At 38.9% G+C, this 23,345-nt stretch overlaps 1 protein-coding gene across 18 annotated transcripts in view; it reads right to left on the bottom strand.

Annotated features, from left to right (window-relative positions):
- The window catches only part of UNC5D (unc-5 netrin receptor D), a 561,066-nt gene that overhangs the window by 232,241 nt on the left and 305,480 nt on the right, over positions 1 to 23,345 (bottom strand). For 17 of the 18 annotated variants that reach the window (NM_001438417.1, NM_001438418.1, NM_080872.4 and 14 more), the window contains exon 2: positions 14,790 to 15,008. In NM_001438417.1, coding sequence (NP_001425346.1) covers positions 14,790 to 15,008 — 219 coding nt within the window. Of the gene's footprint in view, positions 1 to 14,789; positions 15,009 to 19,764; positions 19,909 to 23,345 lie in introns of those variants that run through there. The other variant, NM_001322818.2, reaches the window with a different exon arrangement.

The raw sequence follows: 23,345 nt of genomic DNA, 5'->3' as shown, positions 1-23,345 counted from the left end.
TTCAATAACCTTTAAGGTAAGAAATGTGTTTAAGCATTTTACCCAGCTGCTACAAGAAGACACTTTCATCTCTTCAGCACATAACATATTCTCCAGAATGGACCATAGGGTAGGCCACAAAACAAGTCTCAAAAAATTAAAAAAAAAATTGAAGAGGAGAGAATACTTCCAAACTCATTACTTGAGAGCAGCATTACCCTGATACCAAAATCAGACAAAGACACAATAATAACAACAAAACTACATGTCAATATAGTTGATGAACACAGATCCTCAATGAAATACTAGCAAACCAAATTCAGTAACACATTAAAGGATCATTAACCATAATCAAGGAGGATTGATCTCAGAGAGGTGAGGACACTTCAACATATGCAAATCAATAAACATGACACATCATATTAACAGAACCAAAAATAAGAAAAAATGATCATTTAAATAGATGCTGAAAAAGCATTTGACAAATTTCAACATCCCTTCATAATAAAAACCTCGAAAAATTATACATAGAAAGAACATACCTCAAACATTAAAGGCCATATATGACAAACCTACAGCTAACAACCTACTGAACAAAGAAACACTGAAAGCCTTTCCCCTTAATCTGAAACACAACAAGGATGTCCACTTTTATATTTTCATTCAACATAGTACTGGAAGTCCTAGCCAGAGCAATCAGGCAAGAGAAACAAATAAAAGGCATCCATTTGGAGAGGAAAAAGTCAAATTAGCCTTGTTTGTAGATGACTTGATCTTATATTTAGAAAAATGTAGAGTCCACCAAGAAACATTGGAACTGACAACCAAATTCTATAGAGTTGCAGAATACAAAATCAATGTACAAATATCAGTAGCAATTAAATATGTTAGTGATGAATAATCTGAAAAAGAAATCAAGAAAGCAATTTCATTTATAATAGCTCTCCCCACCCCCCCACCCCCCACAAAAAATACCTGGGAATGAACTTAACCAAAGACATAGAAGATCTCCACAAAGAAAATGATAAAACTCTGGTGAAAGAAATCGAAGAGGACATACACAAAAGTAAAGATATTCCATGTTCATGGATTGCAAGAATTAATGTTATTAAAATGTCAATACTACACAAAGCAATGTACAGATTCAAGACACTCCCTATTAAAATACCAATGACTTCTTTCTCAAACATAGAAAAAGCTATCCTAAAATTTGTACGGACCCATAAAAAACTCTGAATGGCACCAAGAACTCTGACGAAAGGATAGTATCTTCAATAAATGGTTCCGGGAAAACTGGATATCCATATACAGAAAAATGAAATTAGACCCTTATCTGTCACCATATACAAAAGTCAGATCAAAATAAAAACAAATCTAATATATGAAACTATGAAATCACTCAAAGAAAACATTGAAGAAACTCTCCAGGACACTGGTTGAGGCAAAAATTTATTTAATAAGTCCTTAAAAACACTGGTAACCAATGTAAAAATAGACAAATAGGATTACATCAAGCTAAAAAGCTTCTGAACAGCAAAGGAAATAACTAAAAGACAACCCACTGAAAATGAGAAAATATTTGCAAACTATCTATCTGACAAGGGATTAATAACCGAACATATGAGGAGTTCAAACCACTCAATAGCAAAAAACAGAACAAAAGATTTAAAAATGGGCAAAAGATCAAGACCTGAAAAGACATTTATCAAAAGGCCAAAAATATATATTTTAAAATAGCCAAACATCACTAATCATCAGGGAAATGCAAATCAAAACCACATCTCACCCCAGTTAAAATGTTTTGTGTCAAAAAGACAAAAAAAGATAGGTGCTAGAGAGAATGTGGAGACAGAGAACCCTCATACACCATTTTTGGGGATGTAAATTAATATAGTCACTATAGAAGACAGTATAAAGGTTCCTTGAAAAACTAAAAATATATCTTCCATATGATTCAACAGTCCCACTACTAGGCATATATATCCTCCTAAAAAGGAAATCAATATATCAAAGAGATATCTGCGACCCCGTGAATCATCCTAAGTATCCATCAGTAAAGGAATTGATGAAGAAAATGCGGTATATATCATGAAATATTATTCAACCATACAAAGGAATAAAATCTTGTCATTTGTAGCAACATGAATGAAACTGGAGGTCATATGTTAAGTGCAATAAGCCAAGTGCAGAGACAAATATCACACATTCTTACTCATATGTGGGAACTGAAAAAGTGGATCTCATGAAAATAGAGAGTAGACTGGTGGTTACCAGAGGCCAAGAAGGGGGATGAGGAGAGAAGACAGGTTGAAGAATGGGTAATAAAATACAGTTAAGTAGAAGGACTAAAATCCAGTGTTTGACAGTTCAGTACAGTGACTAGTTAACGATAATCTATTGCATATTTCAAAATAGCTAGAAAAGAGGAATTTGAATATTCCCAGCATAAACATAAGTGTTTGAGGTGCTGGATATTTCTATTATCCTTATTTGATTATTAGCCATTTTATGAATGTATCAAAATATCACAAGTGCCCCAAAATATGTAAATTATGTATCAATTAAAAAAAAGGAATAGGTTCAAGCTAATGGGAAGCACTTTCATGTTTTTCACTTTCCTCATCTTATAAGAATATCTAAGCTATGATTTTTTTCAGCTTGGAAATGAAGACAATCACTATCTCAAAATGGTTCAGGGTTATCATGTTTATAAAGTAGTGAATGTCCAAATCCAAAACACAAAACTTGCTATGATTTAATCTTGGCACCATAGTATTTTAAGAATACCCAGGATTTTTTTTCAATAAAGTATTTTAAGAGATTTAGATATGGAAGTGACTTTTATGAAGGAAGAAGTTGACACTCACAGGTCCTGAGAGACAGGAGTCACAGCAAGCCACATAGAGCCAGATGGGGAAGCATGGGGGTCTTTCAGGAGGCAGAACTGGTAGGGGAACATGTGGCCAAGGGCCTTTCCATTGTGGTTTGCATGGGAAGAAACAATATGCTGGGATTGGCTAGCTTGCATAATGTCAGTGGGCTCTGTGGCGTTGTTGGTACCCGAGTTGTCTGGTACCTAGTCCTGGGGTTAGGGCAGGGGAACAGTGATCTGGAGTATAAGAGCTCCATAGAAATGGTGGTTAGGGGTGTGGCCTCTGGATTGCTTGGTTTGCATATGAAAGGCAAACTCACAGGCAAGTTGTTTGATCTCTCTAAAAATTAGCCAGCCCTGGGCAGAGCAGTCCCTACAGGGTGAGCAAGGCCCCAACTAGAAAGGGTGGTCACATAGACAAAGAGAACTGCACATTGTGCTTTGGAAAGCATAAACAAGGGACCAGGGCACCCTACTATGAAGATTATATCTTGTCTTACCCCACTCTTGTCAGTAGGTTTTGTAACCCCTCATTCAGGCTAACCACAGTTGGGAGGAAAATGCTGAAGTCAAGATTTCAACATTAGGATGGCCCAGTTACCAGCAGAGGCTCCCCATGTGATCAGCAGAGCAAAGTGCATATAAAACAACTGCTCCCAAACACAGTATTTTCCCAACCAGTGGCATCAGAGTGGCAGGCTTCTTTAAAAGGCCACAAGTGACATTACCATCCCACAAAAGGTATATTATCTCTCTAGATTAGGCCTTCTTCTAACATGAGGTCTTCAGTTTTATCAAACCATCCCCTCTAAAAGAAGCCTTGGCAAATCACGAATTCTTTGTATTATATTTTCCCCCACCATAACAATAAATAACTGTTGAATAAGACAAACAATTTTTTAAATACATTCTTTCTCAAATCCTCACTGATCAAATGATATACATACAAATACACATTTACATAGGCAGTATGCATGTATACATACATACCCTTATACACATATGTAATAGTACATGAGTGTATACACATATATGCATACATATACGTGATATATTCACAAATGAGAAATATCCAAGGAATGCGGCTTTAAGAAAATTGCTCTTCCTCCACTGAATTTCATCTAACAGTGTTCCTGCAGAAACGGCTATTTACTTCAGTATCTCCAGAGATGGCAGCTAACTTGTTCATAGAAAATGCTACAGGGGAGCAGAAGTTCCAGGCAAATAAAAAATGGCATATCATAAATAAGAGTAGAATTGTACCTGATAACTGGCATGACTCTAATAAGCATAGAAAAGTCCAACCCTTTAAATTATTGTGCAAATTATAACCATCAGCCTTTGTTATGGAGTAGAGTCTTAGAGAATATACAAATATGACTATGGTACTGATATGCTAATAAGCTTTCTAGGCCGTTGGATGGTTTAGTTGTAGATAGACTAACGTTGGCAGCAGATGACTAATTGCTCTGCATGTACTAAACATAATGGAGCAGCACAGAACTTCATCATTTGTCAGCTTTATTTGTTTAAATGAGAAAAATGCTGACAGCAGTTATTGCTATAATCCCCTTATTTATCAGATAGAAAACACTAGTTACTCTTAGCAGGTCTAATCCTGTTGGGAGACTAAAAGTTAGAGGATTTTCAAACTAATTGAAGGTATATGCTTCACTGTGCAAGGAAGAGAAATGTAAGAGGAGGGAAGAAATGGAGAAGGGAAAATAAATAAAATGCTTTATTTCTGGTCAACTTTAAATAAAAGGGTGATGGTCATAGTCTAGGATCCTAACTTGTTCTGGACAAAATAGAGAATTCTGGAATAGTAGTTAACATTCAGTACCATGCCAACCCCAGCCCGGTGCCTACCAACACCTGGCCCTGAGCTTTTTATCCACCACTCATTATTGCACTGACAAAGCCATCAGCAGCATCCTGCTGTGGTTACTGTTTCCAGCCAGTTCTCAAACACACCTGGTAATGGGCACTTGGGGAGGAATTTGACACAGTTCTCAAATGCTTGCCTCTCCACTCAGCCTTACTGCTTCAATCATTTGGAAGTTCTCTGTAGTAGGATGCTTGGCTTACCAACCGGAACCAATAGATTCAAGAAGGAAGTGAGAATCCCTCCCCTCTAAGATGTTTCTCATATCCCCAACCATACAGAAGCAGTAAATGACCAGCTAACTAGGTTTTGGTAGAATGGTTTATCTCGTCCCAGTCTTGGTGCCTGTTTTCCGGGACCTTTTCAGTTCAATGTTTCACTTTCTTTGTACCTCCTTGTTCACATTATAGCGCTTCATGATTGGGGCTGAGAAAATGAGTATTCCATTTTTTGTAGACAAAGTCCCAAAGAATTACTCCAGTACAACTTCATGAGTAATGCTGGGCCTTGGTCAGTTCTCTGGGAGAGAAACAAAGCAATCAAATTCTCTTGAAAAGCAACAGACTTTTTTTTTTTCCCCTGGAGACAGAGTCTTGTTCTGTTGCCCAAGCTGGAGTACAGTGCTGCGATCTCGGCTCACTGCAACCTCCACCTTTCAGTTCAAGCAATACTTGTGCCTCAGCCTCCCAAGTAGCTGGGATTACAGGAATGCGCCATCACGACCACCTAATTTTTGTGTTTTTAGTAGAGATGAGGTTTTGCCTTGTTGGCCAGGCTGGTCTGAAACTCCAGGCCTCAAGTGACCCGCCCACCTCGGCCTCCCAAAGTGCTTGGATTACAGGCGTGAGCCACTGCGCCCGGCCTGAAAAGCAATATTCTCTTATATTCAAGAGTTTTCTTGAAAGAACCATGAACTCCCAAGATTTCTCAGCCCCTGTGATGCCTGGATTTGGCTGAGGTATCCTCTCTTACTCAGATGGAAAAAGTGAGTCTTCCACTTATATAAGGGAATGTTTTCCATTTGTCTCTTACTGCTTCAAGATCAGAGCATCGAAAACTATACTTCAACAATGAGATACTCCCTCATATTTTGAATAACACATTTTTATTATCATTATTAGTTATATAGTATTTGCATGGCCCTTTATTTTTATTAATACCATCACAGGCATTTTGGTCTTTTATCTTAACATTGTGTTACTATTATTTCTATTTTGTAGTATTATTATTTTGCCACAGGTCCCCTACCATAAGCAATAAATCAAAGATGTCATAAGTTTTATGACATGTTTTGCTGGAAAGACAATTATTGAGCACCCTGTATGTGTCTGTCACTCTGTTAGGTGCTGAGGATACATCGACAAGCAAAACATCAAGATACCTACCCTCAAGGAGCTTCTGGGTTGGAAGGGGAGACTTTTTTTTTTTTTTTTTTTTGAGACGAAGTTTCACTCTTGTCGCCCAGGCTGGAGTGCAGTGGCACGATCTTGGCTCACTGCAACCTCCACCTCCCAGGTTCAAGCGATTCTCCTGCCTCAGCCTCACAAGGGATTATAGGTGCCCACCACCACATCCAGCTACTTTTTGTATATTTGGTAGAGACGGGGTTTCACCTTGTTGACCAGGCTGGTCTTGAACTTCTGATCTCAGGTGATCCACCCGCCTCGGCCTCCCAAAGTGCTGGGATTACATGCGTGAGCCACTGTGCCCAGCCCTGGAGGGGGAGACATTTTAACATGCTCCAACAATGCCCAATGTGACAACAGCCATGACACCAGAAGCACAAGCTGCTACGAGATCACACAAGAGGCTGGGTGCCATTCTACCTATGACTTGAAAGATGTGTCCTTATTAAATATACAGCCTGCCTTCTAGACCACAGCTCCGGGGACTCTTTTAAGGACACATGTATCTCACACGCATTTGAAGTTTCAAAACTGACAGATAGGGAAGAAATGTCATGGAACCGTACCTCCGTATCTTGAGAGAGCTTAGATGTCTTCAGGCCAACATAGTACTGAAAGTAGTAAATTAAATACAGAAATGAAAAGGCAGAACAATGTTTCATTTTACTGGCAGATAATTAATTAGGGCTAAATGTCTTTTATCACTTTATCCTAGCAACAAGTTAAAAATGTATCTTGACCAAAAATAAAATAGTTATCCTTTGAATGTGCATGTGCGCCATGCCTAATGAATAGTCTTTTGTTTTCCCAGGATAATAAGCACTCCACGTATTCCTCAGAAGCACCGCGAGTTCAGTCTTAAGTACAGAAACAAAGAATACACCCAAGCTCTCCAGTTTCTTCCACACAAGAGATTAGAATTAATCAGCTCAGAGGTGTCTGGTAAAGGAAAGCAAATTAACTTCATAGTGTTGTCTGACAATAGCAAGAAGAGAAAGTGAAGAGGCGGAAGTGGACATGGAAAGGTTGTTTAGAAAACGCATCCCATGAATGACTTACTCCCGTATCACACTCACAACATGGTGGGCAACATGGTCATGATTTCCAATCCTGTTGCTTCAATCAATGACTTTCCATTCCTGCAGTCACTGAAATCATCTCCTGCTAGTAGCTTATGGCCTGAGGTCAGGACATATATTGTACCACTTGTATCACCTACAGTGCTACTATCAAAGGTGTTCAAACCAGAGCAACTCCATTTTGAGTGAGGGCTAGGAAAATGAGGCTGGAACTTGCAGGGCTGTGTTCCCACAAAGATATGCATTCCTAGTCTCTAGATGTTGGTGGTTAGGGGAACAAATTAATAATGTTTACTAAACAAACCCAGACTTGGGAGTCTCCAGATATCCTGATATCTGGAGAACAAAGGCATTCCTAATTTTGCTTTAAAGATAATATCAACTCTTGCAAAATATAGTAATTAAGAAAATTAATCCTTTATCACAAACCCTTGTAGCAGAGCACATCTCCCCACATATACAAGCATTGTACCTACAGTGGATGTGTTCCTCCTCTTACTTTCAGGAACATCCTATTCTGTCTATGGAGTAGCTGTACTTTCAGCACTTTACTTTCTTAATAAACTTGCTTTTACTTTGCACTGTGGACTTTCCCTGAATTCTTTCTTGAGCAAGATCCAAGAACCCTCTCTTGGGGTCTGGATCAGGACCCCTTTTCTGTAACACTGCCATGGACTCTGAGGGTAACATAGACACACAATGCGACCTGAATGACTGAATCGCATGCAAGTAAGGCAATGATACTCTAGAAAGGGCAAATATTTACCTGCCAATATTAGCCCTGTTATGTTCTCGGAATGCAAAATTCTATGATTATATATTTGTTTTTTGAATCATATTCACCATACACTTGTCTCATTCAAAAAGAAGAATAAAATAGCTATTTTATATTCATCATTTTGAGGGATAGTCTTGACTGAGCAATTGCTGTACACTAGCCCCTGGGCTAAGCATGTCACATGTATTAGGTGCTATGTGATTGTGGATGCAATTATCACTGCCATTTTACACACGGAGGAACCAAGGAGAAAGGAAGCTCAATTCCACATCCACCTGAAAAAGTATGTAAATGGAGAGCCTGATTTCAAACATTGCTTCCTCTACACCAAAACCCATGTTCTTAACCATTAGGCTAACCTCAGGTTTCTTTTTCTGTGTGTGTGTGTGTGTGTGTGTGTGTGTGTGTGTGTGTGTGTGTGTGTGCTGTTTTTTTATAGATCTTTATAATTATTCTTTTTTTTTTTGTATTTTTTTGAGGTGGAGTCTTGCTCTGTTGGCAGGCTGGAGTACAGTGGTGCGATCTCAGCTCACTGCAACCTCTACCTTTCGGGTTCAAGTGATTCTCCTGCCTCAGCCTCCCGAGTAGCTGGGACTACAGGTGTGCGCCACCACGGCCAGCTAATTTTTGTATTTTTAGTAGAGACAGGGTTTCACCATGTTGGCCAGGCTGGTCTTGATCTCTTGACCTTGTGATCTGCCTGCCTTGGCCTCCCAAAGTGCTGGGATTACAGGCATGAGCAACCGTGCCCTGCCTATAATTTGTATTTTAAATCAATGTACACACTTCTTAATGTGTGAACTAAAGAGACTGGTCAAGGATTTAGGCTTTGAGACAGATGTATGGTCGATATCAGACATTATTAAATTATATAAAGTGATTAGCTGATTTCTGTCACTGCTAAGGATGGATGAGAGTAAATAATCTTCTTATTTCCCTTTTGTAGGAAAAGCTAAATTGGCTATAGGAAACAAGGCCTTCATACTCTACCAGTTTATGTAGGGAATTCATAACATTTTCCTGAAAACCTTTTAAGAATATGTCAGTCTTCTCTGAGAAGTAGAGTGATGAACAAGATGAAATCTAAGGTGGGGAGGGAGAAGGCTTCCATAAAAGTGAGTTTGAAACCCACAAACTGTCAATAAAACACTTTAGAGATTATTTCTGTGCTATGTGGCCTAAAATATATGCTTCCCAAATGTACTTTAGTGATTTGTGAATCATTGAAGATACTTTCAAATTAATGGTTTTCTGGAAGATACTATATTCAAATCCCCATTACCAGCAGAGCAACATTCTAAGATATAAACTTTTAAGATTTAATACATTTTTATTTCTATTCTTCTCCCTTTTCTTGACACAATCCATTAACCTTTTATCCCCAGAGAGTGACTCCAGTTGTTTAAAAAGGAAATCACACACAATGAGGTCCCTGAAATGAAATTCTTTAAAAAGAAAAATATTAGTTTACTAGAGTTGAGACTTTCTCATAACACATTGGAATACACATTATTTCACTCATTAGAATTCGATATCTCTGAGGTGGAATAAGATAAGAGCCACGGCGTGTTGTTAAGAGAATTCCTATTTTTATTGAACAATAAAGAAGTGGTTTAGCTTATTGATAACTCCAGCTCCCCACAGGCCACATAATCTTGATTGCCAAGATATGTTTGGTTTGTGGTTGTTTACTATTGTGTGTATGACATATGTGTGTCTGCCTGTTAGAGTAAAGCTCCTAATTTCTACGTTACTGCATACACCATTCTTTTCACAGGGGTATGATTCCTGGGTTGAGATTACTTCTCAACTCTGAGCTTCCAGATGTTAACAGAAGAACAACACAAGGAAGACGAGTTCCCATATTTCCAAATGAAATGAGGCAGAACAAATGAAAGAGGATCCCTTGGCTAGTGCAGAGAACTGCAAGTGTACATTACTAAGAGGTATAGCCTTGTCTGTGCAAACACAGTAACTCATGTCAAATAAATTGTACTTTTTGCAGGAAAGAACTCTAGCTCTGGGTTTTCCAAGCTAAACTGCATGAAAACACACAATCTCTTTTCTTATTTGAACTGTTAGATGACAGGGCCAAATTACCAGAAAGACCAAAGGCAGTTTGCAGCCTTTAACAACTGAAAGGACTTATTGCTTCCAATTTAGGAACACGAAAGATTCTGTGTCTACTCCAAACACTCCCAGGTCCTATGCATTTCCCATTAGTTCTGTGAGGACAGAATGCCTATAAGTAAAAAGAATTATCAAATTTCTCTAGAATTTCAGAAATGGAGAATATGTTGTCCAAAGAGACATAAGGAGTTACTTTCGACAGGACTTAAAAAACCAGGGACAGTTTTCTCAGTCTCTCTGGTCAAATGTGGTCCCACCGTCCTTGGCTTCTCAGTGTCATTCACTCCTATTAGACTGGCAGGAATTATTTTACGAATCCAGTCAAAAGCCATTAAGTCTGTAAAGGTAGTCAAGTCCTGTTTCCCAGCTCTGCCTTGGAGAACCCAAGGGAGGTAATGCATCTATTTTTCAATACCTGAGGCCATTTTGTTTCCACCCTAAATTGCATTTAGGTATTGTTTTGGGGTATAATATCTCCACTCATCTTGTTCTTGTTTCCACAATTCTACTATTAATACAGAGCTTAGGAAACATAATTGCAGTGTGCGGCAGATAGTGATTTTCATTAACTACACAGAAGAAAACTGTTTAGGGAGAGACATTTCTTTCACATTGATTCAATCAAAATGACTTGGAAGAAAAAGTTGTGCTATTAAGTTCTTTACAAAAAAGTAACTGCTAAAATTTAAATCCTTTCTCAACAGCATATTTTTAAAAATCGGTATATAATATACTCAGATTTGGTCATTTATGAATTTTTTGTTTTGCTCAGTTTCTTTGAAATATGTCTTTTATTGGCTTTCTTTTTTTTTTTTAAGGAAGTAGAGAGGAGGAGATTTCTACATGGAGGTAGAGAATGTAATAAAAAACGCTATCCACATGACATGGAGTTGCCTAGCAATGCTAGGGGAATTAAAAGGGGGAAGCAATAACAAAACAGAATGTAGTGAAATTAGAAGAGGGTGCACTGTTGAATTGGCTTGCAATACTTCAAGAGGTCTTTATATGAGAAGGGATATAAGATTTTTCTAGCAGTGGTAACAGAAATGGCTGATCATTTTACAATATTCTTTCTATCTTTCATTTGGAAGAGTTTACCCAATGGGATTCGGCTATTTTGAGGTCATTGGTGGGCAAAATCTAGGACAGAGACATCTGATGATAAAAAACATACAGCCCCAGTGAGCCACTGGTATTTGAGTCCTTTTTAGTTGTACTAATTGAGCAAAAGACACAAGCCTGTCATATTCTGCCATTGTTTTGTAGCCTTTTGCTTATATGGTAGATGTCATTCCCTTGGTTGCCCTCTCCCAAATTCCACTGTCTTCCTTTGAATTTTTAATGTCAACGTAAGTGAGACTGCTGTTGTCTCTGACTCAATCTCTCCCAGCACCAGGCCTCTCCATCTAGGTCTCTCCTGGGTCCCAGCCTTGGGAGCACAAGATCAGAGACGTTCCTGAAACCAAGATTCAATTTGTTCTCTACTTTCCCCATCGAAATGCCAAATCCTTCCTTCAAAATCAAAACTATATCAACATTCCTGGAAATGTCTACCATTGCTTGCTATAAACTTTTGTCTAACAGTGCCAGAAACATGCCCAGATTAAAGGATTGGCTTTTACGAAGATGGAAGAAATGGTCAGGAATAAATAAATTCTAAAATGTTATATGTATAGGATGATACACATGGGTGACTGAAACCCTAAATAGATTCATAATGGAAAATGATGAGCCATGTACTTCAATCCATCCTTATGTCAGCAAGAAAACTTGTCAATATTTTGATTTGGGAGAAAAGTATAGAAATCTATAGGCAAAGGTGACTCATGGTGTTGAAGAAATTCATCTGAAGGAGAAATCGGGAGATCTGGGTCCTTGAAACAGCTATGCCACAAACTCATTGTATCTCTTAAATCTTAACATTTTAATGTATAAAATAGGGCTGTTAGATTATCACTAAGCTCTCTCTCTCTCCCAGTTCTTACATTTAGATTCTAGGATTCTACGCATGCTTTGGTCTGAAGAACATCTCTAAAAGGGGCACTTTTGTTTTTTTCTCTTCCTCCTACTAATTCCAATTTGAAATGAATAGGGAATTATTATAGAGTTTTAGGTGTTTCTCTCCTTTTTGGAGTTTTGAATTTATACTGCAATCCTACAGTAGTTCAGAACTGTGTAATGATTAGCAGTCTTTCTTTACATGTAAATAAGATGTTTAGTCCTTCGCCCTTCTCTTTATTGATAGAGTTTTACCTACATATCTTTTTGAGACAACTTTTTCCTTTTGCTTTGGAACACAGCATCCCCTGGTAACTTCTTTTTTCTTTTCCTTTTCCTTTTTTTCTTTTTTTTTTTAGACGGAGTCTTGCTCTGTCACCCAGCTGGAGTGCAGTGGCATGATCTTGGCTCACTGCAACCTCCACCTCCTGGGTTCAAGCAATTCTCCTGCCTCAGCCTCCTGGGTAGCTGGGACTACAGGCACCCGTCACCAACCCTGGCTAATTTTTGTATTTTTATTAGAGACAGGGTTTCACCATATTGGCCAGGCTGGGCTCAAACCCCTGACCTTGTGATCCACCCACCTCGGCCTCCCAAAGTGCTGGGATTACAGGCGTGAGCCACCGCACCCGGCTCCCCTGGTTACTTCTTTGCTGGAGGCTGATACTCCTATCCCTGTCTTCTGAAGAGGTATATCTCTAGGTCTACTTCCTTTTCAAGTAGACCTAGTTGACCCTTCCTCTCTAACAACTCTTCCACCCACATGGCTTCGTTCTTTCCTAATGATTCTCAAATCTACTCTTCTACCTACTAATTATATCAAGTTCCAAATCTACATCTCTTCATTATATACCATAAGCACCTCAAATTTAGCTTATCAAAACTATGATCTCACATTTTTATCCTTGTTAATGCAATTACTTATATTCTGGTTGTTATTTCTGTAGCCTCCCGACTCTTGAACCAGTTCTTACCTTCTCTCACCTGAATTATCCATGTCTCTTAGCTCCCTTGTTCTGGTTTCTGCTTACCAACATTTCTTCCAGATTCATTTTTTAAAGCAGAGCTCCAGCCACTGCATACCCGTACATCAATATGATCGATCACCAGAACCAAAATACCCATAAAACTAAGTAAAGGGCTCCACACTCTTATTTGAGGCCTTTCATGCCATTGATTAAACTGAGTTTTCTAGCCACTGGCTGCTATTCTTGTACATAAATTTTATATTTCAACAAAACCAAACGTTTTGCTGAACGTATACCAAGCTTTCTTCATTTACTAATGTTTGTGACCTTCAGGCCACTAAAACTCCTCTCTCCTCCATATGGTGTAGCATCAATTATGCCCATCTGACTTACATATTCATCAATGTTCCTTTCAACCGCTATCAAGTCTACAATACCTTTACTGATAGTCCTAGTTAGATGTGATTTAAGAAACAAATCTTCTGTATAATCATATTCTTCTTTTCAGATATTTATCCTAACTTCATCTGCATAGCATTCATGGGCATATTTGTCTTATCTCTGTCATTATGTGTAAAGTTCACCCCTATGGGCTATTTTCTTACCTATCTCTGAATACTCTGAAAGGCCTACCTTGTTATATAGAATATCGTTGCTATATAGTTAATAAATTAGGCTGATTTGAAACTTCAGAGTTATACTGATGTTTTTTGACTTATTCAAAAATCGGATATCTAGTGAGTTGACCAAGTCAAGCAGTTGACCATCTAAAAAAATCAACAATCTAACGTGTGACCAGATTGGATCTTGTCTGAGAAAGCAAAGTTCAAAAGCATAGATTGTTTCTGTCAACATTAAAATATAAAAGGATATACATTTTGAAGGCTTTGAGTCAAATTATCTCACTTTGACATCCAGGGCAAGCACTTTACTTAATCTCTTTGAGCCTTAGTTTCCTTGTCTACGAGAAGGTAATAATAGCATTATCTACTGCAGGGGACTGTTGAAAAAACTGAGCAAGATACATAATGTCTGTCAAATGCTTAAAGCCTGATATATAGTGAGTGGTCAATATGCATTAGCTAGTATAATCATAATTTCCATCATCACCACTTATCAGCCAAATTTGCCAATAATTTACTAATAATGTAAAGATGGTCCCACAATTCTTTCATACTGGAGATCCTGCTAGGATATGGTAATCTAATTTGGGATCTGCCATTACACCATAGTCAAAAAAAAAAAAAAAAAAGGACTCAGAAACCACCAAATGTGGAGAATAAAGTGCAAAGAATAAAATCTAGGAAAGATTAAAGAAACTCAAATCATGCTGCTTAACAAGGGGTTTGATGCAAGATTTAATATTTGTCCTCAAAAATATTCAGAATTCTGCAAACAAAAACAGTGACTCCCTGGTTTATTTCCAGTGATAATATTAATTTTCATACAAAATTTGGTGTTTAAAGTTATCTACAGCAAGAAAAAAATGCCTCTGCATCATATCGGAAGGGACTACCAAGGCAGCTGTAGGGTCATTTGAAGAAAAGGATTGCATCTTATATGCTGGGAGTGATGTAACTATGACCTCATTCACACAAGGCAATGGGGGGTGATTTCCAGTCTTTCCCAGAGATATAACCACAGGAGAACCTAAAGAGTCACCACAGCTGCTTCTGACTGCTGCACGCTCCTACCTGAGCTCTCGTCCAGAGTCTCTTCAGAGACGTGCTCGTTCTGATGGACCCACTCGCCGTTGCATTTGAAGAATATCTGCATGGCTGGCCTCGCTTTGCACCTGAGTGCAATAGGGTTGCTCTTGATAATATAAGCATCATCTGGCTCCTCTATGAAATGAGGCAGTGTCCCAGGAGCTGATGGGATGGATTCGGGAAGGGCTTCGCCATTGTCAGTTCCTGTGAAATCAAAAAAGACATCAGAACACAGCCTACATTGATAGCACATACACCAGGACACAATGGCAAACCTGCACCAGCTCTAAGATTCTGTGCTGGAGAAATATTCGCTTTATTAATAAAGCATGCTTGTAGAACTGGTGTAGATGAATTATCTTCTAGAAGCTGAACTAGGAGGATATGGTGCCTCCAGCTAGCCATGGCTTCAGTGTTATTGGATGAAACATAAGAATGAATAGGACACGCCTCAAATTTCTGTTTTGAATCCGAGCGTCTTTGCAGAAACAACTGAGATACACATCTGTGAGGTGAGAGGCTCTGGTGAATGGTTACCTTAAAGGGCTAATGACAACCCCAAGCTGCTTCAAAATTTTGAAAAATGGTGAGAATAGATGTTGTTCTCCCACACATGTATGTGAATGACAGGGATGATAACAGAGGATACTCAGCCATAAAATATGGTCAAAAGATTCCAAATGGTCTGCTTTCTTTACCTATGAAATGGTGGAGATTGTCTGGCAATCGTCTTGGATCTTGGATAACTCACCAGCTCACTGCCCCTTCAAAGGGAACATGATTCCATTTTGCTTGCCTTTGGCCCACCCTCTGCCCCCAGCAACCTTCCGCTGGTGAGAATGAACACAAATCGCTAATAGCTCTGAGCTTATAGCCAGTAGTTATAATTACATTTGATCAAATGAAAGGAATAAACTGGATTCTCCCCTAACCTTAGGAAATGGAGGAAGCAATATAAAAAGGGAAGTGCAGGAGGGAAAACTGTACTTCCCTGTTTCTTCATACAGTGAGCAAAGACTTAAGTCCCAGGAAACTGCCACAAAATCAAAGGCAGGAGGGTGTGATTGCTGAGCACAGTGGAGAGGACAAGGAGGAGTGGCATCTTGTACCCTCGAAAGGCCATTCTACTGTAAGACCAAAGAAAGCAAACATTTCAATAGCAAGATTAACTGCCCTAGAAATGGTTGTTCCCATTGAGACCAAACCAGTCTTTAGGATGGAGGAAAACTACCTAGTGAACCACTGGAAGAACAATCTCACTGTGATGGTTAATATGGAGTGTCAACTTGATTGGATGGAAGGATGCAAAGTATTGTTCCTGGGTGAGTCTGTGAGGGTGTTGTCAAATGTCAAATTAACATTTGAGTCAGTGGGCTGGGAAAGGCAGACCCACCCTCAATCCAGGTGGGTACCATCTAATCAGCTGCCAGCATGGCCAGAATAAAAGCAGTAGAAGAATGTGGAAAGACTAGACTGGTTGAGACTTCTGGCCTACATTGTTCTCCCGTGCTGGATGCTTTCTGCCCTTGAACATCAGACTCAAAGTTCTTCAATTTTGGGACTTGAACTGGCTTCCTTGCTCCTCAGCTTGCAGACGGCCTATTGTGGGACCTCACCTTGTGATCGTGAGTCAATACTCATTAAGAAACTCCCCTTTATATATACATCTATTAGTTCTGTCCCTCTAGAGAACCCTGACTAATGCACTCACCCATCAGATCCAACTCTCCGAAGAGAGTCTGGGAAAGGGCTGCATCTTGTGACCTGACCTGCTTTCTGCATGTCATTGATGCAGTTGTGACCAGAGCCTCTTACTATTCATGCTTAAGTCAACAACCGAAATCAGGAAGCATTGTCAATGGTAAACCCAATTCATTAAAAACAGGAGGATTGTTCTGACTGGCCGCGGTGGCTTACGCCTGTAATCCCAACACTTTGAGAGGGCTAGGCAGGCAGATCACTTGAGGTCAGGAATTTGAGAGCAGCCTGGCCAACATGGCAAATCCCTGTCTCTACTAAAAATAAAAATAGTATCCAGGCATGGTGGCACGTGCCTGTAATCTCAGCGACTTGAGAGGCTGAGGCAGGAGAATTGCTTGAACCTGGAAGGCAGAGGTTGCAGTGAGCCAAGGTCATGCTACTGCACTCCAGCCTCCAGCCTGGGCAACATAGTGAGACTCTGTCTCAATTAAAAAAAAAAAAAAAAAAAAGAGTAATGTTCTGTTGAGGAACTACAGGAGGAATTCTTAAAAGTAAAAAGAGGTACAAAGGCTCAGACTTCAAGAGGTATTTTGTATAAGGAAGAAAATAAAAGACACCAAGTTAGTAAATGGCTCCTAACAACTGGAAACACACATGCATAGTTTGCCACTGGAACAAATTAAACTTAAATGTAACTTGATTCTTCCAAATAAGATTTTTTTTCCCATTAAATACATCAGCTTAAGGGGAGAAAAAACAGCCTCACATAACACAGAGTTTAAGAGACTATAAGCCTTGAAATGTATTTGTAATGGAAAAGCTAACTCACATTCAAGTAATTGTCAGCATCAAAAAATTGTAAAGCAAATATTCTAAAAAGTAAGGGCAAACAGTTTATGTCAAAAATACAATAAAGTCAGAAAATAAAATGTGTATATGTCACAGGGAGTAAGAGGGGTTTCGGGGTGGAATCTCAGATGTGGTTTTTTAAAAATATTTTAATTATATTTAAAATGGATTTCATAAAATAAATCACATATTAATTTGTTTTGTTACTGAATGCTTATACCAATTTCTATCTTCAACAAATACCAAGTCCCCGCAGGATTTTGTAAATCCATATGTTAGAGGAAATGACAAAAGTATTAAAAGATTTTATATGAGCATCAACTGCTTACACTCCTATTAGGGGCTTTAGTTCTGTCTAATTCATTGTTCAATTCATAAAAGGACCACTTGATAAACAATACATACCCAAAGCTATAGTGGTAAGCTTAGCAGACACGTACAGACATGCAATCTGAATGATGCACTTTTCCTTTACTAGTAACAACGCATGAATACGTCTATGTATCTGGCACAAATGCCAGATAAATAAAGGGACTAGATCATGTAATAGATCAAGTTTTAACCATTCAACTCACAAAATACAGAGAGATCTAAAAGCAATTAAGTTCCCCTCCTCCCATTTTAATAAATGTCCTTTAGATAAGCAGCACGTTCAGCCTGCATCTGAAAGAAAGCAGGAGAGTGGAATGGACAAGCCTGAGGGTAACTGTCCTAGCTACCCGAGGATCCCCCTTAAGGATCAGTCAATCTTAGGCCAGGCACAACTCATGTCTGTAATTCCAGCACTTTGGGAGGCAAAGGCGAGAGGATCACTTGAGCCCAGGAGTTTGAGAACAGCTTGGACAACACAGTGAGACCCTCTTCTCTGCAAAAAAATTTAAAAATAAAAAAATTAGCTGGATGCATGCGTGTAGTCCCAGCTACTTGGGAGGCTGAAGTGGGAGGCTCGCTTGAGCTCAGGGGGTAGAGGCTGCAGTGAGTCAAGATCACACCACTGGCACTCCAGCCTGGGTGACAGAGAGAGACAGACCCTATTTCAAAAATAAATAAAGAAAAAAGAATCAGTTAACGTTCAGAGGATGAGAAAAAGGGTGGAATGTAATATTACATTTTTATTATTACATAAATACAAAAATTGTTGGGATCCATGAAAATAAGAAAAGAAGGAAAATGATTTACTAGAGTGGCAGTGGGAAGGTGAGGGATTGTAGGTATATATTTGTATACATATCACTGTTTATTTGCATCCGTCTAAAAAATGAGGTAGGTGAAAATAAGAATCTTTTTTTTTTTTGGCTTTGTATAGCGAAGTGCTGGGAGTAGTGACTGCCTATCCCTGTAGCCCGCCCTGCCTTCCCACACTCCAAGTTCCACACTGGGTCAGGCTCTCATTCCTGGTGCAGCAAAGCCCTGCCCAGTAGGTGGCTGCCCTCCAGCAAAAGGGCTTAATCCCCTCAGCAGGCTGCCTCTCCAGGAGGACACCCCTTCCTCATCCCACAGGGCAATGACTCACCTCTCTCCCCCTCTCCAACCCATACTTGCCAACCATGCTCAGCCCTGCCTAGTAGTTTTGAACTGAATTCTTCAGGAAACTGTCAATTCTTTCAGTAAAAGGGAAGGATAGGGAAGAAAGAGGAACAGGAACTGAAGTGGAAACTTTTAAGGGGCTTATAAATTGCTGACAGATTCTATTCTTTGGGACAGGGTGGGAGGAGGTCATTTACTTTAATAAATAGTTTTATGCAAGACTGCATGAATGCTTTTTTTCCTTCAAGATAAATTTATTCATAATCTCAACACATATGCCACAACTCCACTTTACAACTCAAAGAAAAGTTTTAAATTCTGGTAGGACAAATGGCTGGTGACTGATCCAGCCATCTGCCTCCTTCCACACCACATTCACAGCAGAGGCTGGAAAAATCACAGACTCTGATGACCTTCTTGCAGTTCAGCATGGTCAGGTGACACTGGTTTAGCACATGAGTCGTAAACAGAAGCTTCTGTGAAAGCTTGTATCTGCCTGATATAAAGAATAGGTGTGACCAGGTGCTGTGGCTCATGCCTGTAATCCCAGCACTCTGGGAGGCAGAGGTGGGCAGATCACCTGAGGTCAGGAGTTTGAGACTAGCCTGGCCAACATGGTGAAACCCCGTCTCTACTAAAAATACAAAAATTAGCCAGGTGTGGTGGCACATGCCTGTAATCCCAGCTACTCAGGAGGCTGAGGCTGGAAAATCACTTGTACCCGGAAGGCAGAGGTTGCCGTGAGCCGTGATCACACTATTGCACTCCAGCCTGAGTGAAAGACTGAGACTCTGTCTCAAAAAAAAAAAAAAAAAAAAAAAAACGAAAACGAAAGAATAGGTGTGGTTGGTACTGTCCTTTTTCCTGTTTGTTCCTGCCTTACCTGGTGAAGTTTGGGAGGAAAAGTCCAACAGGAACCCGGAAGTCCCAGCACAGACATCACTGAGAGCTTTAACTAACACCAGGATCATCCACCCCCAGATAACATATTACAGCTTTTTTTTTTAAACAATCCCTACTTATTTAACGCTACTGATAGATTTTCTGTTATTTGTGGCAGAAAACGTTCCTCACTGATACAGCTGCATCTTCCTTCTTACACAAAGCCAGCACTCCAAGCTTCACTTAATTAAATCCTAATGCCATCAGCTGTTCAGGAAAGAGCCTTGGTAGGCTAAGGAATGTGGAAACTCCGTTAGCAGAAAGTCAAAATAAGAGCTGCCGTTTACCAAGTAGCTACAGATTGTGGTAATAAGCCTTCTACACGGATTCGGTCATTTAAGAGACACAGAAACTCTCCAAGGTGGGTGTCACTGTGCATCTGAGGAGATGCTTTAATTATCTGCCTTGCCTAAGGCTGCACTGACAGTAAGTGGTGGGCTCAGAACTTGAATGCAGGTCTCTGACTCCAGCCACCTCAGAATTCCATTTTGTTTCAGAGGAATGGATTCTTATAAGTCTGATACTCTAATTTAGTGAGTGCCTGTCGCAGGGTAATAGTGTGTAGTTCATAAAACCAAAAGATGGTATAAAAACACACATTATCTGTGAGTCACTTCTTCACTTACAATAAGAATGACATTTACCTTAAAGATCATTTGGTTAACCTGTGAGCTGGACTGCGATTCCAGATCAGGATGGGTGTGTTAGGAACCCCTCCCAGAGAAGGCCCTGAGAAAATAAATATTTTTGAGAGAACTAGTGTTCTACCAACTATATTTAACTGACTAGACATCCTCACCAAAGTCAGAAATAAAGAAGTCAAAGAATAATTGAGAATAAAATAATAAGAATTTTTCTGTGTTTCATTTAGAAATAAATGTTTCTTTTAAAGCAGGAATATTTAACAACTAAAATTCCAATTAAAATATAAGGACGTGGTGAACATTAGCAAGAAAAACAACTGGGCGAAAGGCACTGCCATTCTAATAGGGTTAAGCATAATAAACTGCCAATATTTTATCATTTGATGTGTTGTATTTGTAATGCAATTGGGCACACCGGGGCCCACAGTCATCCAAAATTGGGATTCATAAAATCCTGATCCATTGGATTATTGTTTAAGTGAATTTGAGCATCAAGAGATTTTGAGACGTTCTAAATTATTTGTATACTTTTTTCTTGAGAGGACATTACTTTGAAATACATATCACTTTTTTTCTCCTTTTCTGTCTCCAAAGTATGCTTTTTCTGTCTCCAAAGTATGCTTTTCTTTTCACTATACTGGTATTTGTTTCAAAGTGTAAACAGGGACCATACCAAAAAGCAAAGACTAAATCTGCTAAAACTAAAGAACTTTACATGAGAATCAAATAACCTGACAAGGTCTGTGTTAACTCTGTGACCTTGGGTGAATAACTTAACCCTGATGTTCCATTTTTCTCATACACAAAAATGGATGACTAAAATCTGTTGGTGTTTTGTGATGTTAAAATATATGTAAAAATAGAGTAAATGGTTAAATGTTACATACATATCATGTGGCACCATGACCACAACCTTCAGCATCATCACTGGGTGGACAAACAAAAGCATAAAAAGGAAAGAATTACAATTATCATCCCTATGATTTCCATCCCCAAACTTATTATCCTAACATTTATATTTTGATTTTCTGATTGCTATTATCATTTTCATCTCAGAGTCCTAGTGATATGGACCGTTGCTTATAACACTTCTTTATCATTTGCTCCCTGTAGCTATATTAGTAAAATTCTGTTAGGTGAAAAATTCAGAATACATGCTGTGAAGCACTTATTCAATAAACATTCAGTGAAATGGTTACACTGTACACCAGGCACATAGCTATCTTGCAAAGCAGGCTAATAGACAATGGGTTTCCTGTTGGCCAGGTCCCAAAACTATTGGCTTTAATAGGCAAGTAGTTAATAAACATAGGAGATTTCATAATATTCCAGAGTCCTTCTCACTGCAATATGTAAATAGAGTAATGCTCCTTAGAATTAGCTCTTTAACTTCCATTCATTTTCTGTGAGTGTATTGGTCCACGGCAATGTGCAAGTCAGAGCAGAAAGCCATAGCAGGAAAACCAAGTTACATAATCTAAAAGAGAATACAATAGAGCCAGGCTTTCTGCCTTCATTTATGTAAATGTGACTTGTCTCCATATGGTTACTTAATTAGATACGGGATGCATTTCGCCCATTTAATGCAGAACAGCAGCCGGAATTTTACATACCAAATATTTAATGCAATTTATGAAACACAGACTCTTTCCCCAGGCCCCAGTAAAAGTTTCTTGTTTATTTTTAACTTGAAAACTATTCTTTCTTCCTAACCTGTAATAAAAATGGAAGCGTTTTATATCATTGCGTTTGCATCATTCACCTCACCTGTGCCAATCTTATATATGACTAAGATATTACTTTATCGAGCAGATCTTAAATCCTGCAGAATGAAAGATGGGAAAGAGTGCTTAAGACACATTCAAAGAAATCAAAGAGCCATTCTTAGTTCCTTAAAGAACTTCAGATTTCAGTAGACTCTACAAAAGCACGTTCATTATTCTCCAATTTATCAGTTTAATACATTCAATGTATTTTTTTTTAAATAGACGCATGTGCATGCCTACTAAGATTAGACAATGTTCTAGGTACTAGGGATTCAAAGATGACTAAGACATATTTACTTTCTGCCAGGAGCTCACAGACTAAAAATAGAGATAAATAATAACAAATCTATGACAAGCATGCTTAAATTGGAAGTATATGCAAAGTGTCATTGGGTACAGAGGAGAGAGCCTAACTGTCCCTGGGAGGGTTTATGGCAGGCATCACAGGGAAGATTACCCCTCATCACAGTCTGGATAAATGTGCTGACCAACTGGGCAAGTTGGAGAAGGTAGCCCAACAGCGGGCATGCCATGTGCAGAGATTAAAAGGTAAGAGAGAAATCTTAGGAAATGTGGGATGGCTGAAATATTACATGCCATGGGTACATGGAAAGGAATTTGAAAAGTTAGGTAGAGCTAAATATCATCTTCATTAGAATGCACATTTTAAAGAGTTTGAGATTTTATTAAACCATTGGTCTTATGTGGGTCTGTTAAATTAAGTTTAGACTAAAGCTGCCTCCTGACATATTTTAAATTGTGCCTAAAGCCGATGGTTCACATCGTGTTCAATAAGATAAACATTGAGCTGTAACTGATCTGGCTGTTTCTGAACTTCACTTCCGTTTTCTAAACGTCACTTTCCTTTTCTGTCCATAAATCGTCTTTGACCACGTGGCAGCCTGGAGTCTCTCTAAACCTATTTTGGTTCAAGGACTGCTTGATTCGTGAACAGTTCTTTGCTCAATTCAACTCGGTTAAATTTAATTTTTTTAAAGTTTGTCCCTTAGCAATTCTAACACCTCTCCTTTCTGTGTGCCTTGAACTAGGAACTTTCAGAGATGCAGACACAGAGTAACCACTAGATTATAGAAAGAAAGCTGTCTTGGTTT

The sequence above is a fragment of the Homo sapiens genome, chromosome 8, assembly GCF_000001405.40.
Source record: "Homo sapiens chromosome 8, GRCh38.p14 Primary Assembly".
Classification (NCBI taxonomy): domain Eukaryota; kingdom Metazoa; phylum Chordata; class Mammalia; order Primates; family Hominidae; genus Homo; species Homo sapiens.
Note: the sequence above shows the minus strand (reverse complement) of the source record. Positions and strands in the feature narration are given on the sequence as shown.